General features: G+C 37.9%; 1 protein-coding gene across 12 annotated transcripts in view; it reads left to right on the top strand.

The window, feature by feature from the left end:
- PLSCR4 (phospholipid scramblase 4) overlaps positions 1–15350 on the top strand; it is a 58771-nt gene that overhangs the window by 23112 nt on the left and 20309 nt on the right. For 5 of the 12 annotated variants that reach the window (NM_001128306.2, NM_020353.3, XM_017006921.2 and 2 more), the window contains 2 exons: positions 5902–5929; positions 7069–7179. In NM_001128306.2, the coding sequence (NP_001121778.1) occupies positions 5923–5929; positions 7069–7179 (118 nt within the window). In that variant the 5' untranslated portion in view covers positions 5902–5922. Of the gene's footprint in view, positions 1–4216; positions 4262–5691; positions 5795–5901; positions 5930–7068; positions 7180–15350 lie in introns of those variants that run through there. The other 7 variants (XM_005247655.3, NM_001128304.2, XM_047448623.1 and 4 more) reach the window with 4 other exon arrangements.

The raw sequence follows: 15350 nt of genomic DNA, 5'->3' as shown, positions 1-15350 counted from the left end.
TGTGTCAGAATACACTATTTAATAGTCACACAATCTTCTGCTTTTCTCCAGGTATTCTTAAAGGAAGATTAAGATGGACAAAGAATATAATCTCCTATCAGTTACATAATAAACACAAAAGGGATATCATGGTAGCTGGTGTAGGACTTTGCAGGAGCGAGCTATTTTTCTTGCCTCTGCTAAGAAGCAGAAGGAATTGCTCATTGACCTGCTTTCTGTTCTCTTCTCTCAGGGTTAAAGGCACTGGAGACAGACAGGACCCAGAGTTTTAGAATGCATATGCTGCTTCCAAGCCTTGTGCCTGCAGATTCTCACTGCCCAGAGCCTCCCTTGTGGAGAGGCCAGGATAGCTTCCAGTAAATACTCTACTCTAAGAGCTAATCCTGTTGAGTTTTGTGATTGAATTTCCAAATATCCCTGGTGTGAGTTCTAGAATTTGTGGTTTTATCAGGTTCTGAGAGTTTGTCACTGTTTACAGTGGTGAAATTGAAAAGCTTGCATATAACACAGCTGCGCTTGTTGGGTGCTGCGGTGATATCCATATAATAGCATATAATAAGATACAGCACTCTTGCTGTAGGATGCAATTTAAGATAACAGGGCTGCCTTGCAAGGCAGCAAACCTCAATCTCAGCAACCTTGTCCTGTCTAGCCCATGTCTCCTTTCTCTCTTAATTACATTCCAGGCAGCCCAGATTCCCCTGTATGCATATCATGCCCCCAAAATACCAAGGCCTCTGCAATTAACAGCTCTCCAGACTTTGTAATACTAACCTGTTATGGAGACACAGCTCAGTTTTCCAGTCTGGTTTCTGACAGATATGAAGCCAAAAATCAATTTTTTCAAGATACGGCACTTTTTGCTGTTGCTAAGTGATAGGGAAATCTGAAGCAGTTCACTGAATATTAAAGGAGGATTAAGTTAACAACATTCATGCTTCTACTAACTGGAAATTATCCTGCCTTGCACAATATTTTGGCTAAAACTATATTGTAAAATTTTATAAGAAAGGGAATAGAATATAGGGTGGTGAGAAAAAAATACTAGCAGCTCAAAGGAGATGGAAGGTAAACAGACTTCGAGTATCTGAAACTTGTGAGGCAATATGTAGCTAGTTTTCTTTTCTTTAAACTCATTGAGATTAGTTGCTTTGTAATACTTTAAATATTTCTAAAATTTTATTTATTTTTTCAAGTTATCATTCAATTACTTGAATTAGATTTGAATGCTTAATAATGCCTGGCATGGTTGAGAACTGTTACTTTTCTTTACATTGAATTAGTCTCAGACATGCCTGATCATAAGGATCACCTGGAACTGTGTTAAAAGTAGAGATTTCCAGGCCTGGACCCCAGAGGTGCTACTTCAGGTTTGGAGTCCAGAATTCTATATTTTTTCCAAGTTTTATTTTGAAATTAAATATTTAAAAATTAATATTCAAATGTATTTCTGCACTGAGATTCAGCAGTTGTTAAAAGTTTGCCACTATAGATAGCTAGATAGATGATAGGCGGACAGACACATAGATATAATAATTTGGCCTCTTTTCACTAAGACATTAAATAATCTGTTGTAATTAGTTTCCACTCTGGCTCCTTGATAGTTTGCAATCCCAAGAACTTAACATATAATCAAACAACAGACCATTAGTTAGAAGAAGGTCACACTCAACATATAACTGTCAAATGGTTCTTGTTTATTGTGAAATAATGCAATGCATATAAATATGCATATTTAAACATGTACATACCTTTTAAAAACTAATGACAAGACATTAGCCTTGTTCTTATCACCCTAATAGAATTTTAATGTTGGCAGGAACTTAGGGTTCCTTGTGGGCCACAGCTAAACAGCCACCCCTCATCACTTCTTTACACATAACCCTTTTCTGAAATTTTGTGTTTTTAATTCCCTAGCATTTCTTTAAAGCTTTCCTCTATATATTTATCAGATGAAGTATTTTGTTTAGAATTCCTGCTACTGAACATTCTTACGTGGAATCATACTGCGAGGTGACAGTGTGCTGGCAGTCCTCAGAGCCCTCGCTCTCGGCACCTCCTCTGCCTGGGCTCCCACTTCGGCGGCATTTGAGGAGCCCTTCAGCCCACCACTGCACTGTGGGAGCCCCTTTCTGGGCTGGCCAAGGCTGGAGCCCACTCCCTCAGCTTGCAGGGAGGTGTGGAGGGAGAGGCGCCAGCGGCAACCGCGTGCGGCGCTTGCGGGCCAGCTGGAGTTCCGGGTGGGCGTCGGCTTGGCGGGCCCCACACTCGGAGCAGTCGGCCAGCCCTGCTGGCCCCGGGCAATGAGGGACTTAGCTCCTGGGCCAGTGGCTGCGGAGGGTGTAGTGAGTCCTCCAGCAGTGCCAGCCCACCGGTGCTGTGCTCGATTTCTCACCAAGCCTTAGCTGCCTTCCTGCGGGGCGGGGCTCGGGACCTGCTGCCTGCCATGCCTGAGCCTCCCACCCCCTCCATGGGCTCCTGTGCGGCCCGAGCCTCCCCGACGAGCACCACCCCCTGCTCCACCGCACCCAGTCCCATCGACCACCCAAGGGCTGAGGAGTGCAAGCGCATGGCACGGGACTGGCAGGCAGCTCCACCTGCAGCCCTGCTGCGGGATCCACTAGGTGAAGCCAGCTGTGCTCCTGAGTCTGGTGGGGAAGTGGAGAGTCTTTATGTCTAGCTCAGGGATTATAAATACACCAATCAGCACCCTGTGTTTAGCTGAAGGTTTGTGAGTGCACCAATGGACACTCTGTAACTAGCTGCTCTGGTGGGGCCTTGGAGAACCTTTATGTCTAGCTCAGGGATTGTAAATACACCAATCAGCACCCTGTGTTTAGCTCAAGGTTTGTGAGTGCACCAATGGACACTCTGTATCTAGCTGCTTTGGTGGGGCCTTGGAGAACCTTTATGTCTATCTCAGGGATTGTAAATACACCAATTGGCACTCTGTATTTAGCTCAAGGTTTGTAAATACACCAATCAGCACCCTGTGTTTAGCTCAAGGTTTGTGAGTGCACCAATCGACACTCTGTATCTAGCTGCTCTGGTGGGGCCTTGGAGAACCTTTGTGTCCATACTCTGTATCTAACTAATCTGATGGGGACGTGGAGAACCTTTGTGTCCATACTCTGTATCTAACTAATCTGATGGGGACGTGGAGAACCTTTGTATCTAGCGCAGGGATTGTAAATGCACCAATCAGTACCCTGTCAAAACAGGCCACTCGGCTCTACCAATCAGCAGGGTGTGGGTGGGGCCAGATAAGAGAATAAAAGCAGGCTGCCCGAGCCAGCATTGGCAACCCGCTCGGGTCCCCTTCCACACTGTGGAAGCTTTTTTTCTTTTGCTGTTTGCAATAAATCTTGCTGCTGCTCACTGTTTGGGTCCACACTGCTTTTATGAGCTGTAACACTCACCGCGAAGGTCTGCAGCTTCACTCCTGAGCCAGCGAGACCACGAACCCACCAGAAGGAAGAAACTCCGAATACATCGGAACATAAGAAGGAACAAACTCCAGATGCGCCACCTTAAGAGCTGTAACACTCACCGCGAGGGTCCGCGGCTTCGTTCTTGAAGTCAGTGAGACCAAGAACCCACCAATTCTGGACACAATACTACATGTATTCTCCAGTGATTTGCTTTTTCTGTTGTGCTATAATTTTGAGATACATCTCTGTCCACGTGCACAGCTATAATTTGTTTTCACTACAGGATATTATTGTATCATGTGAATGTACCAGAATTTATTTATTCAGTCTACCATTGATGGACATTAGGCAAGTTTTCATTCTTTTAAATATGAATAGTGTTATCAAGAACATTCTTGTCTATATCCTGTGTGCATGTGCAAGAGTCACTTCCAGGTACATAACTAGGAGTGTCTAAATTTCTAGAAAGCTGTAGTCATTTTCCTTAACAACAGGGATTACCATCATTAAGGAATATGACTAACCCCTTGAACTCCTTTTACTGGCCCAGAATTGGGTCTGACTTTTTGGTATGCCCCAGAATAAATAAATAAATAAATAAATATTTATTATTTATAATTATTATATATTTGTATTATTTTATATTTAAATATTAATATATTTAAAATATAAATGTAAAAATATATAATATATATTAAATATATATTTAAAACATTTTTACATAATATATATTATATAAAAGTAAATATATATGTTTTAAAATATATTTATATGTATTTTTTAAGCTTGGAGACACATAGGGCACCGTACAACAAACTCCAGCTCCAGAGGTGAGTGGAGATGGTCCAAGACTGGTTAAACTTTCACCCGTCTTGGCAAGACAATCATTTCAGCTGGGAATCTGCATACTGGCTCGTACCATGGCAGTTTTCATTGAGTCAGCTCAGTGTCCATATTGATGACTCACTAATACGTTGTTTGAATGCTTTTTTGACCTACTCTAACTTGATACTTTTTTACTCCACTTGGACAACGCAAATGACTGTATTCTTATGAACATGATCACATATTGAAAAGTACATAGGCTTAGGATTTAGAAGCACTTGCCTTTAGCAGGGTTGGCCATTTACACATTAGAGAGTTGTTATAATCAGAGATATGTGAAAAGAATTGGGCCCTTTGCCTAACACTTGATAAGCATTCAGTAAATTATAGCCTTTGTTGATACTCTTTTTGTTATTTGTCATTACTCAGAACTCAGAAATTCAGATATATTGAAATTCCCTTCTCAAATAATAGCCTTTTTTTTGCCTGACTGAATTCAGAAAAATTTACCTTCACCCTCATTCCTTGTTTCAAATCTCGTCTCAACTTCTAGTCTTCTTCTTTGAGTTATTCTCATAATGTTCCCATACATATTTTTAATTTAAATGTTTAACTTCTTTTAGTCTCTTCTTAAACATGCCCCAGTCTAAACTTTCAATTCTTACCCTCCTCCATCCCCACTATTCCCCCACTATCCTCCTCTCTAGTTTTGTTAATAGGATCACCGTCAACTCAGTTACCTTGGGCTATGACTCAGAACCCTCTTCCACTCCTCTCTTTACCTTAGTCCATCAGCGACTCCTGGAGGCCCTGCTTCCAAACCGTATCATGCCTCTGAACACTCCTAACCTGCAGTGTCACCTCCCCCATCTAAGCTGGTGTCAGCTCTCACCTGGATTGCTGCTGCCATCCCTCACTGCTCCCTGCTTCTACTCTTGCTCTCATTGTATGATGTCGGTCAGATCTGATCACTCCACCGACTGAATCCTCCAGACTTCCCAGTTGCAAATACCAAAAATGCCAAACCCCTTGCCATGGCCTTCAGATGAGATCAGACCTTTATCTGCATGTCTTACCTCAGTTCGCTTCACTCACTGTGGCCCAGTCACTCCTAAACCACTTTCTCTTTTCCTCCCTTCAGTATCCCATGCTCACTGCCATCTCTGACCCTTTGCACTAATTTCCTATCTTCCTGGAACTCTCTTCCCACAATTGTAGTGTGATGTTTATTTTTCATAGTTGAAACAGCTCAAAGGTCACTTCCTGAGACAGGCTTTCCCTGACTCTCCTAGAACTTACCATCCGTGTTTCTCTTAAGCTTGTTACATTGTTTTCCTCATAACTGTACTATCTAACGTTAAACTTTAACATTTCTTGACTTTTTTTAAATCTCATTCTACTACAATATAAACTGCAGCACAGTAGGTGGCAGAGTGTCTGTCTGCTTCATTGCTGTACTCTCAACATCTGTATTAGTGCCTCGTACATAATAGGTGCTCAATAAGTATTTTTTTAATTAATGAAGGGACAAATGTAAGGTAACTGGAGGTTAAAAAAATTACAGAAATCCTTACCTGTGTTACTGAGTAGCAATACTATTTATTATGTATGTATTTTAAAGGCATTAACATTTTTTATTTTTCAGGATTAATTGGAATTCTTCAAAATGTCAGGTAAGTTTTTGTGAATAAATTTGAATATGCTTTATTTTCAAATGTGAATTTTGTGATTATTTTCCCTAAAGGGGGACTTTATTTCGATTTTTTTTTGTTTAACATTTGGCAAATATAAATACGTGTGTGTGTTTGCATATATATATGTATGTATATATTTGTTATTTATGTATATAGACATTCCTATCATTGTCAGAAAAAGATTAAAAAGGGACTTACAGTGGGACACATATCTACTGAATAATCTTTGAAGTTTGTGGGGAAAATTAGGTAATAAAAAAAGCAAGATTTGCAAAGCAGTTCTGCAAAGAGAGGTTGTAGTAATAAAGAGCCTGTGGCAAGGTCCTGCCTTGGTAGAGGAGGATGAAAGTAGGCCTTGTATTTTCTAGTAACTTACATAAAGAGAGAAAAACCACATTTATGGGATTTTTGTTTGCTAGGAGATAAAAGTCAACTGGTTGTTTAGGAAACTCAGCTTTTTTTTGTAGTAAGCAGAGAGAGAAATTAGTCTCTAATCTCAATAAGAAGACAAGGTACAACATCATGAAACTGACTTCAGTACCTCCCTTGCAGCAATTACTGTGACCTAGATTGCTTTTAGAAAGAATACAGTGAAAATGTGAGTCACTGGAGATGTAGACTAAACTATTGCTAATTCAGTTGTGTGTGACACCACTGTTTATTAAACCATTATTTGTTTATGGTGTTATGTTGTGAATCTTTTTAGACAGCACTTTCCAAAAATAATTAGGAAAAAAAATCAACTTCACTCTATAAATGCTTGTGTTCTCCATATTATGTAAAGGGAAAAATAATTTTTGCTATTATGCCAGGAATTTACTTTGTAGATAAGAGTTAGCATCGGGGCAGTTGAACCACTAGTATGAAAGCTCATTGCTTTGATCACAAGCATAATATAATTGTTTAGTTCTATTTTTAAATCTATGTTCAGTTTGAAAATTCATGAAATTTATTAATAGTGTCTAATATATGATGAATTCTTTCTTTAAAAAATATAGGAGTGTATTTTCCAGTTGATTATATTTCTTGATGCATTCCCATAAGAAAGGAAAAAGAATACATTTTGTCATTATATTATTGTTTCCTTTGTAAGTCATGTTCCCTGTCTTCCCCTGAAGGTGTGGTACCCACAGCCCCTGAACAGCCTGCAGGTGAAATGGAAAATCAAACAAAACCACCAGATCCAAGGCCTGATGCTCCTCCTGAATACAATTCTCATTTTTTACCAGGTGGGTTAAATATTCATAAAAGATATTCTCCTTTGCTAAAAACCATACTAATGATTAAAATTGCTTTTTAAGCGAACAAATTAATTGACTGATTTAATAAGTAAATAAATATTGGATGCCAATAGGGTGCCACATAGTTTACTATATGTCAGTTAGAATATATTCCTGTAGCCATAGGATTTACAGGCTTTTAGATGGAAGTTGTGCAAATATTGATGACATTCTCTCCATTCTATATGGAGATATGAAGAGAGTGTTGTAAGGACACAGAAGACAGTATTTGACATTGCCAGGGATTTGAGGAAAGCCCTGACTAAGGAGGTCAAGTTTTGCTGTCATGATAAAAATTTCACAAGCAAAGAAAAGGGGGAAAGGACTATCCTTAGCAGAAAGAATCATATGTCCGTAAGTACAGGGTCATGAAAATCTGGTATGAGGCATGCATGAGACACATGGAAGATGTGCAGAGAAATGGAAGTGAATGGCCATGGGTGCTGATTAAGGAGCTTATCTTTCTGGCAAATATTTTTGTAAGTCTGAGTGCACTACTGGTGATGTCTTGGGAGAATGAATACTTTATACAGTGCTAGTGTGAATTTGAGATATTATGATTGTTAGAAAACAATTTGGCCAAGTTTAAAATTTTAAAAATTAAAAGTGCCCTTACTTTTGGCCAAGGAAATAGTTAGTATTGTCTTTAAACACATTTTAATGACTTACATAATGATGTAGACACTGTAGTAATATTTTTTTAAAATACATATTTAAGCGTATATTTAGAAGTAGAAACCATTGTGTTATGCTCTGAAGGGGGAAAAGAAACCCTGCTATGTACAAGATAATGGCACAAGATAATGGCAAAAGTTTTTTTTTTGAGATGGAGTTTCAGTCTTGTTGCCCAGGCTGGAGTGCAATGGTGCGATCTTGGCTCACCACAACCTCCACCTCCCAGGTTCAAGTGATTCTCCTGCATCAGCTTTCGGAGTAGCTGGGATCACAGGCATGCACCACCACGCCCGGCTAATTTTTGTTTTTTATTTTTTGTTCTTTGTTTTTTGTTTGTAGAGACAAGGTTTTTCCATGTTGGTCAGGCTGGTCTCGAAGTCCCGACCTCAGGTGATCCACCTGCCTCAGTGTCCCAAAGTGCTGGGATTACAGGTGTGAGCCACCGTGCCCGGCCAAAGGTTTTTTTTGGCTCTAGGCATATGATCCATACAGCTCAGGTGGCTTCTGCACCTACAGTGTTTTCTGAAAGCATCAGGATTTCCTTTTTTCTCTTCCTAATGTGTATGTGTGTTATGAGGATAAAATGCATTATAACATACTGCATTAATAGCGCAACCTTTCCTAAATCCAAGGTATTAAAAATTAAATTATTAAATTATAATCATGCTTTATCTATCGTTTCTCTATATGTCACTTCAGTGACTTCCAACATGATATACAAGATCTATCTTATATTTACCAATTACTCTATATCCAAAAACCTAGACCCTACTAGAACAGAAACTTCACCATTTCTGAGAAAAACCTTGGTTATACATCATGTTCTCATCTGATAAAGCGTATGTCTATTCTTCTGTATATCAATAATTCAGCAAGAGAGTAGGCTACATCCTTCAAATTAAATGACAAGGTAAGTTGTAAAAATATTATAGTGCAGACCACACAACTAATGAATTTTCAGTTATAAAATATAGCAAAATTTCGCTCTGATCGCCACCTGGTGGCTGGACTATAAACTTACGAAGACTGACAAAAATTGTCTCTGTGACTCAAATTAAGAATCTTGAAATCTGTACTTGAATTATGTAGTGTTAATGAATTTATCCCAATTTCTTTACATAATTCCAATTTGCATTATGGTGTTGGATATGTGTTCCCACAAAAATAATTTTATCCACTATTCTTGTTTAAGAGAATAAAGAAACCTTTGTTATATTTAGTATATTTAAAGAGAAAATGGCATGATTTCCTGATGTTCAAAATAACTAAAAAAACTCAAATCCTATCAGACAGTGTGTCTTACACCAGTATTGGTAGGACAACGCTCCGTAACAGAGGTCTTTATTTACGTAAGTCTGAGATGCTATAGTTACACAAAGTTAAACATATTTTGTTTTGTTTTGCTTTGTTTTCCTGCAGAAGCAATCAGAACTCTTATGAAAACTTCAAAGCTTAGAAGAAAGTATAATATACCAATTTCCCACATATAATTTCATCATATGTTTTCCTTCTTTTATCTCTGGATAATACATACTTATAACAAAAATTGTTCAATTACATAAATATGTATTTAATTTTAAAATAAATATAAATTTAATTTTAAAAAATATAATCTCTATACGAATAGCCTCAAAATCTAAATGGCAATTTTTTTCTGATTTATTGATCTTCAAATTTTATAACATGAGGTGCTTTTATATTAAAAGTACATGGTAAATTAATCATTAACTCATTGAAGTGATATAATGATTAATATTCTTGAGATAATTCATATGATTTTTAGTTACATTGTTATTTTTAATAATAGTTAAAAAAAGAAGGTATGGATATCTGATTTCTAGTCCAATTCGGGTACTCTTAAATACAATTCTTAAAGGAATTAAAGTATATTCTTCATAACAAACTTAAATACATACTTACCTTCACTTTTTTCCAAATACGTTATACTTTTTTTCTCACTTAACTCTCATTTGACATTGTTTCCTGTTACCATTATTTTCCCTTTAGTCTGCTTACTGTCAGTTTCTGTCAAAAACTGTGTCCCTACTCTTAAAAAGTGCTGTTCTCAAAATTATTTGGTCTACTCCCCTGGTTTTCCCTGCCCTTCCCCATCTCCTTCTCTCTCCTCTCCCAGTCACCCTTCCTTTTACACACTCTTCTAAGTGATCTTGTTAATACTGAAGGTTTCCTTTTCCTTCATCACTTATGAAATACATATCCACAGATCATGTCAGTCTGATAGTCTCTAAACTTGCACTTCCAACCACCTATAGACTGCTTCTCATGAAAGACCATTGAATCTCAAACTCAATGATCACCAGCCCAACTTTGTTATCTTGCTTCTAAACTCTATTTTCTTTCTCCATTCTTCCCATACACTGGAGGCCTGTAGGATCCCAAGCCAGAAACTTGAGAATCTTTTCTCATATCCAGTCCACTTCAAAGTCAATGTTGTATCTTAAATGTCAATTACCATTTCTCCACTCTCTGCTCCTTTCACCAAAATCAGCCTTCCTTGCCTTCTAGCCAGACCCTTGCAAGTACTTCCTGCCTAATCTGACCTCATATATAAAGAATTCTAAATGTAAAATGAATCACTTTACTTTCCATTTGATTGGCATAAAGTTCAAGGTCTTTCATAATCTTCATCCTATCTTTCTAGCCTTGTCTGCTAAATCTCCACACACAGCAGTTCGTCCTGCAGTAGTGAGCCTCCTCTATGCACCTGCCTGTTCTTGTCCGTTTGCCTGTAAAACCTTTCCCCATCATGGAGATGCTGGCTAGGTCTAGTGTGTTAGCATCTATATCGTAGTATACCTTCTCTGCATAGGTTAGGTACCCCTCCTGTCTAATCCCTTAACATGCTATGCATCTACCTATGATTATGTCAATTACTTGCTTCGTGACAACCATTCACCTTTTCTTATACATCTTTGTAGCCTCCACAGAACTTGCTGCCCTTGGAGACAGGCATGCATTTGAATGTCTTTCTGTCTTATATTTCTAGCAGCAAGCACAGAAGCTGGTCCTTGAAATGGGCTTGAGGAATATTTCATAGATAAAAGAATCTTTGATTTATCTCATGGCCTTGTTTTCAGATAGTATTAGGAGAATTTCATGATTCATGACTATTATGAGTGGCATTTTTATGAGTAACCAAAATGTCTTAGACTTCATCACCTTCAAAGGCGACTGGCTTTTGCATTATTGGTTGACCCCAGACCACTGCATTGTCCCATGATGTCCCATGGAGGTGAAAGGGTAGAACTTAAGGACTTAAAAATAGCTGCTAGCTAGAGATGCCAATCCAGTGTATAGGCCCAAAGCCCTCCATAGAATCACGCCTGGGGTGCTCTTCTTCCTTGTCTCTGATCTAGGGGGAGTATTAGCATGATGTATTTAAGGACGTTTCTGCAGTCAGAATGCTGGAATTCTAATTCTACTCCTGATACGTCAGCTAATGACTTTCACCAAGTTACTTAACCTCCTTATGCCTCAGTTTTATTCTCTATAAATTAAGGATAATAATAGTATCTACTATATATGGTTGATGTAAAGATTACAAGGTTTAGTACTTGTAACGTTGTTAGAGTAAGGGCTGGAATATGATGAGAGCTCAATAAGTTTTAGTTATTATCTTTCTTTTTATTTTTTTTTAATCAACATAGCTTTCTCTAACAGGACTTTCTTCCAGATCTGGGTAGTATCCAGGACCCAGTTATTTGGGGGCTCTGAGAGAGACCATAATCTCCACCTTATCACATTTAAGTGAATTTTTCATTATGCAAGAGTGACCTTTTCAAAAACTGGCTGCCTATGGGACTGTCTACATTTTTGTTTGTTTGTTTGTTTGTTTTTGAGACAGAATGCTGCCGTGTTGCCCAGGCTGGAGTACAGTGATGCAATCTCGGCTAACTGTAACCTCCGCTTCCCGGGTTCTAAATGATTCTCCTGCATCAGCCTTCAGAGTAGCTGGGATTACAGGCATGCACCACCACGCCCGGATAATTTTGTATTTTCGGTAGAGACGGGGTTTCACCATGTTGGCCAGGCTGGTCTCAAACTCCTGACCTCAGGTGATCCACTCACCTCGGCCTCCTAAAATGCTGGGATTACAGGCGTGAGCCACAGTGCCCAGCCGGGACTGTCTGCATTTTTCAGGAGATGTCAATCCCTTCCCTACAAAGCTATGTGGCATTGCTCTTTGATTACAAAAGACAGAAAATTTGCTAGTCCTGTAGACCTACAGTTCCCAAAACTGTGTTTACTTAGGGAGACATAACACCATTTGTGGAGCTTTAACAACACAGCCCAAATTGGGCTTCTACTGTTCTAGCCTTGTTCATTTTTGCACACTTATGTGGACATGAGGTGAATCTCAGCTTCTAACATCTTTCAGCTGTCATCTGAACTGAAAATCCAACAATTTTTGGGCAGAAACACAAAAAAAACATATACATACATATACACACATTACAAGGAAAAGCAGTAATTTTCAGAAAGAAACTACAGTTTAACCTATATTTAGGTAAAAATTATTTTTTTCTTCAAGGTGGAAATCTACAGAGAAAAATCTCCAACCATAGTAAAAACAAGAATTTACATGATTATACATTGCAGTGTTGCAACATTGATTCCATCTTTTTCATTTCAGAATAGAATCTTTGCTGTCCTTATATTAGTTAAATAAAAGGATCTTTAAATCATTGGCTTTCAAATATTCTTGATGATAATCTAATATAACACATAGTGAATAATACATACATATATATTCAATATATTTATGTATAAGTAACACGAGTTTCACCAGACAATACTGAATATAAAGTGAGTAGATAGTATACTAATAATACAGTTTCATATTTTCTATTTTATTCTTCTCTAGTTGACTATATTTTCAAAAATTAATATTTGAATTATTAAATTGATTTTAATACTCTGAATATATCTTCAGTTTGTAAAATGCTGTATCAAAACAGAGTTTCTCAAACTTAGTAGTTGATAAGAATTGATGAAATATCAGACAAAACATACTTTGAGGAAAAAATTATTACTAGAGATAATGGTCATTTTATAATAATAAAAGTGTCAGTCATCAAGACAGAATGAGTGTATTCATATATACACATAAAAACAATGCTCCAAAATATATGAAGTAAAACTGGTAGAATTGAAGGGTGAAATAGATAATACAATAAATAATAGTTGGAGACTGTTATACCCCACTTACAATAATAGATAGAACAACTAAGCAGAAGATCAAAAAGGAAAGATCTGAACAGCACTATAAACCAAACTGGGCACAACAGACAATCTACAACAGACACTCTAGACGTAATAGCATAATAGAACACTCTACCCAACAACAGCATAATACACATTCTTCTTGAAACATATGGCATTCTACAGTATTGTGGTTAGGTCATGAAACAAGTCTCAACAAATTTAAAACAATTAAAATCATGTAGAGTATATTCTTCTACCCCAGTGGTAGAAGAATACTTTTAAATGACACTAGGGGCAAAAAAAACATCACACACAGGGAAATTAGAACATACTTTGAGATGAATGAAAACGAAACACAGTATGCCAAAACATATGAGCTAAAGAAGTGCTTAGAGGAAAATTTATAGCTATAAACACCTCCATTAAAAAAAAAGGAAGAGGGCCGGGCGCGGTGGCTCACGCCTGTAATCCCAGCACTTTGGGAGGCCAAGGCGGGCGGATCACGAGGTCAGGAGATCGAGACCATCCCGGCTAAAAAACGGTGAAACCCCGTCTCTACTAAAAATACAAAAAATTAGCCGGGCGTAGTGGCGGGCGCCTGTAGTCCCAGCTACTTGGGAGGCTGAGGCAGGAGAATGGCGTGAACCCGGGAGGCGGAGCTTGCAGTGAGCCGAGATCCCGCCACTGCACTCCAGCCTGGGCGACAGAGCGAGACTCCGTCTCAAAAAAAAAAAAAAAAAAAAAAGGAAGATATCAAATCAGTAATCAAACTTTCCACCTTAAGGGAAAACCAAGCCAAGAGGTAGGAAATAATAAAGATTAGAGCATAAATAAATGAAATAGAAAAAAGAACAATAAACAAAATCAACAAAACCAAAAATTTGTTATTTGAGAGGATCAACAAAATTAAGAAACCTTAAGTCAAACTAACCAAAAATAAAAATAAAAATAAAACACCTCATATTACTAAAATCAGGAATGAAAGTGAGGCTTTTACCATAGAGAAATTGAAAAGTATCTTAAGGGAATAACATGAACAATTGTGTGTACAATTTATTGTATGCTAATAGGAAACCTAGACAAATGGACAAGTTCCTAGAAAGATACAAACAATTGAAATTGACTCAAGAAGAAACAGAAACCTTAACAGACTTATATAACAAGTAAAGAGATTAAATTCGTCATTTAAAACTTTTCCACAAAATAAAGCTAAGGCCCAAATGGCTTCAATAGTGAATTTGGCCGGGTGCTGTGGTTCACGCCTGTAATCCCAGCACTTTGGGAATCCGAGGCGGGTGGATCACCTGAGGTCAGGAATTTGAGACCAGCCTGACCAACATGGCGAAATCCCATCTCTACTAAAAATACAAAAATTAGCTGACAGGTGCCTGTAATCCCAGCTACTTGGGACACTGAGACAGGAGAATGGCTTGATCCCGGGATGCAGAAGTTGCAGTAAGCAAAGATCACACCACTGTACTCCAGCCTGGGTGACAGTTGAGACTACATCACAAAAAAAAAAAAAAAAGGAAATTTTACTAAATGCTGCATGAAGGTTTTAATACCAGTCATTTACAATGTCTTCCATAGAAATGAAAGAAGAATGAATTCTTCCTAGCTAATTCTAGAGGCCAGTATTACCCAATTAGCAAAATCTGACATAGATGTTACAAGAAAAGAAAACTAAAGATCATATCCCTAATAAATATAGAATCGGACTTTCTCAACAAATTACTAGCAAACCAGATTTAGGAACATAAAAAAGGATTAAACACCATGACCAAGTGGGATTTATCCCATGGATAAAAGATTGGTTTATCACATTAAATATCATATTAAAACACATCAATGTATGTACTATATTAATAAAATATAGTACAAACACCACATGACCACATCAGTAAGCACAGAAATCACACTTGACAAAATACAACATCCTCCATGATAAAAACACTTAAGAAACTAGAAATAGGAGGAACTCCCTCAATCTGATAAAAGAGTACCTATGAAAAACTCACACCAAACATTATGTTTAGGAGTAAAGACTGAAAACGTTCATTTCATCTAAGATCAAGAATGAGACAGGGTATCTTTCTTGCCACTTCTATTCAGCATTGTACTGGAAGTTCTAGCCAGAGCAATTAGTCAAGAAAAAGAAAGAAAATTCATCCAGATTGAAAGAAAGAAACAAAACCATCTCCATTTGCAGAAGACATGAG

This window comes from Homo sapiens, chromosome 3 (assembly GCF_000001405.40).
Source record: "Homo sapiens chromosome 3, GRCh38.p14 Primary Assembly".
Lineage (NCBI taxonomy): Eukaryota > Metazoa > Chordata > Mammalia > Primates > Hominidae > Homo > Homo sapiens.
Note: the sequence above shows the minus strand (reverse complement) of the source record. Positions and strands in the feature narration are given on the sequence as shown.